The 1,621-nt window shown below is 40.8% G+C and overlaps 1 annotated feature.

The window, feature by feature from the left end:
• Positions 201-250: an enhancer, noted in NCBI's record as "active region_27931". NCBI's record gives its function as "activates an Ori minimal core promoter by ATAC-STARR-seq in GM12878 lymphoblastoid cells {active_cell/tissue: GM12878}" and the evidence as "EXISTENCE:reporter gene assay evidence [ECO:0000049][PMID:35858748]".

Genomic DNA, 1,621 nt, shown 5'->3' on the forward strand with positions numbered 1-1,621 from the left:
CATATACGTTATTTGCTCTGTTGTCAGTTTGAATTCTTGCTGTTTGTATTTGTTTAGTTCTAAAGCCTTCCCCAACCCCACCTGAAAAAAAAAATGTTTCTATCTGGGTCAACAGGTGTCACTGTTGAGCAATACAACTAAGCCCCCCTACACCCCAACATTTTGGTGCTGAAAACCCTGGCTGCTTACAAGGCCCACCCTCTGCTCAGTCCTGATGTTATCAAGTGAGTGAAATCTATAGTCACTGTGTCAGTTGCCTGAACAGACCTCCAAGGAGCACCAGTATAGATTTTTCTTAATGATCTAATTTCTGAATGCAACTGTAGACCTTACTACCCAGAAAAGGAGGCAACTAGGAAGAAGAAACTATAACTGTTTCCATTTGCAAGAGGTAGCATTAGTGGAGGAGTCTTGTTGCTCCATTTAGAACGTCTAAACTTTAGTGCTTGCACTATCCCAACCAGCTGCCTCTGTTATAATGGGCTCAAGCCAGAGGAGCCCCCACAGCAAGTTGGCACAGGAGTGAGATAGGTTGCAGATCACCAAACAGACCAGATTATTAGTTTAGATCATAGATCTTCCAGGACACCCAGAGTTATTCAGGAAGAATTTAAGGGGAATGTATTCACAGAAAGTAGGTGGGGATAGAGCAAAAGAAATGCGTCAATTGCTACCTGTTTATTACTCTCAGGCTGATGTGGCCGGGGAGATGTGGAATTGTGTAGAATGGAATGCGATGGAATATGAAATGGTGTGGAATACACTATAGGAATGCAAACAGAATGAAATCAAATGAAATGGACCAGAACAGACCAGGACATAAAACAGATTATTGTGTCAAAATTACGAAATGAAATACAGAATGCAACAGAATTAGATGGACTTTTTCATTAAATGCTTTGAGACATATAGAGATGTGTTTAATTGGCTTGAAAGTCATTAGCAAATTCAGGAAATTGTCATTATAGTTCCAGGCCAGATGATTTAGCTACATAGGGACCTAAAAGTCTGGTGCTTTTCTTGAGTTATTCTACTTTAAAATTAGCACAAGTGGTCACCTGTCATGGCCCACAACTGGCACTCTGTTGTCACAACTAACATTTATTGCCTCTTTGCTGGACCCTCTGTATGTATTATTTCATTCAATTATTCTGTCATTCAAATGGCTGAGGTCCTATTTTGATCTCCATTTTATAGATGGGGAAATCGAGGCACCAGAAGGTTAAGACAATTGCCCAAGACCACACGGCTGGAAAGTAGTGGAATCAGAATTCAAACATCAGGCAGTTGGGCTTGAGCTCCTACATGCTAAACCACCACACACACTGCCTCTTATCATGCCAGGGGCTCATATCCTATGACACTTAAATATAGAAATATTAAGATCTGCGTATTCTGTTTTAGCCACAAAATATTACCTGCCAAAAGGCTGGAAAACTTGGGAGAGTCACTGCTCTGATACAGAAACGATAACACAGCAGCACTTAACTCTTCTGCCATACTCAACACAACCAACACCACACTGGTCCCTTCTATTTTTAAACAAGGTTTCATTGGAGGCTTCCCTGATCCTATTAAACATTCCTAATCCTGATACTCATTTGCTCAGCAAACATTTCCT

Source organism: Homo sapiens, chromosome 8 (genome assembly GCF_000001405.40).
Source record: "Homo sapiens chromosome 8, GRCh38.p14 Primary Assembly".
Lineage (NCBI taxonomy): Eukaryota > Metazoa > Chordata > Mammalia > Primates > Hominidae > Homo > Homo sapiens.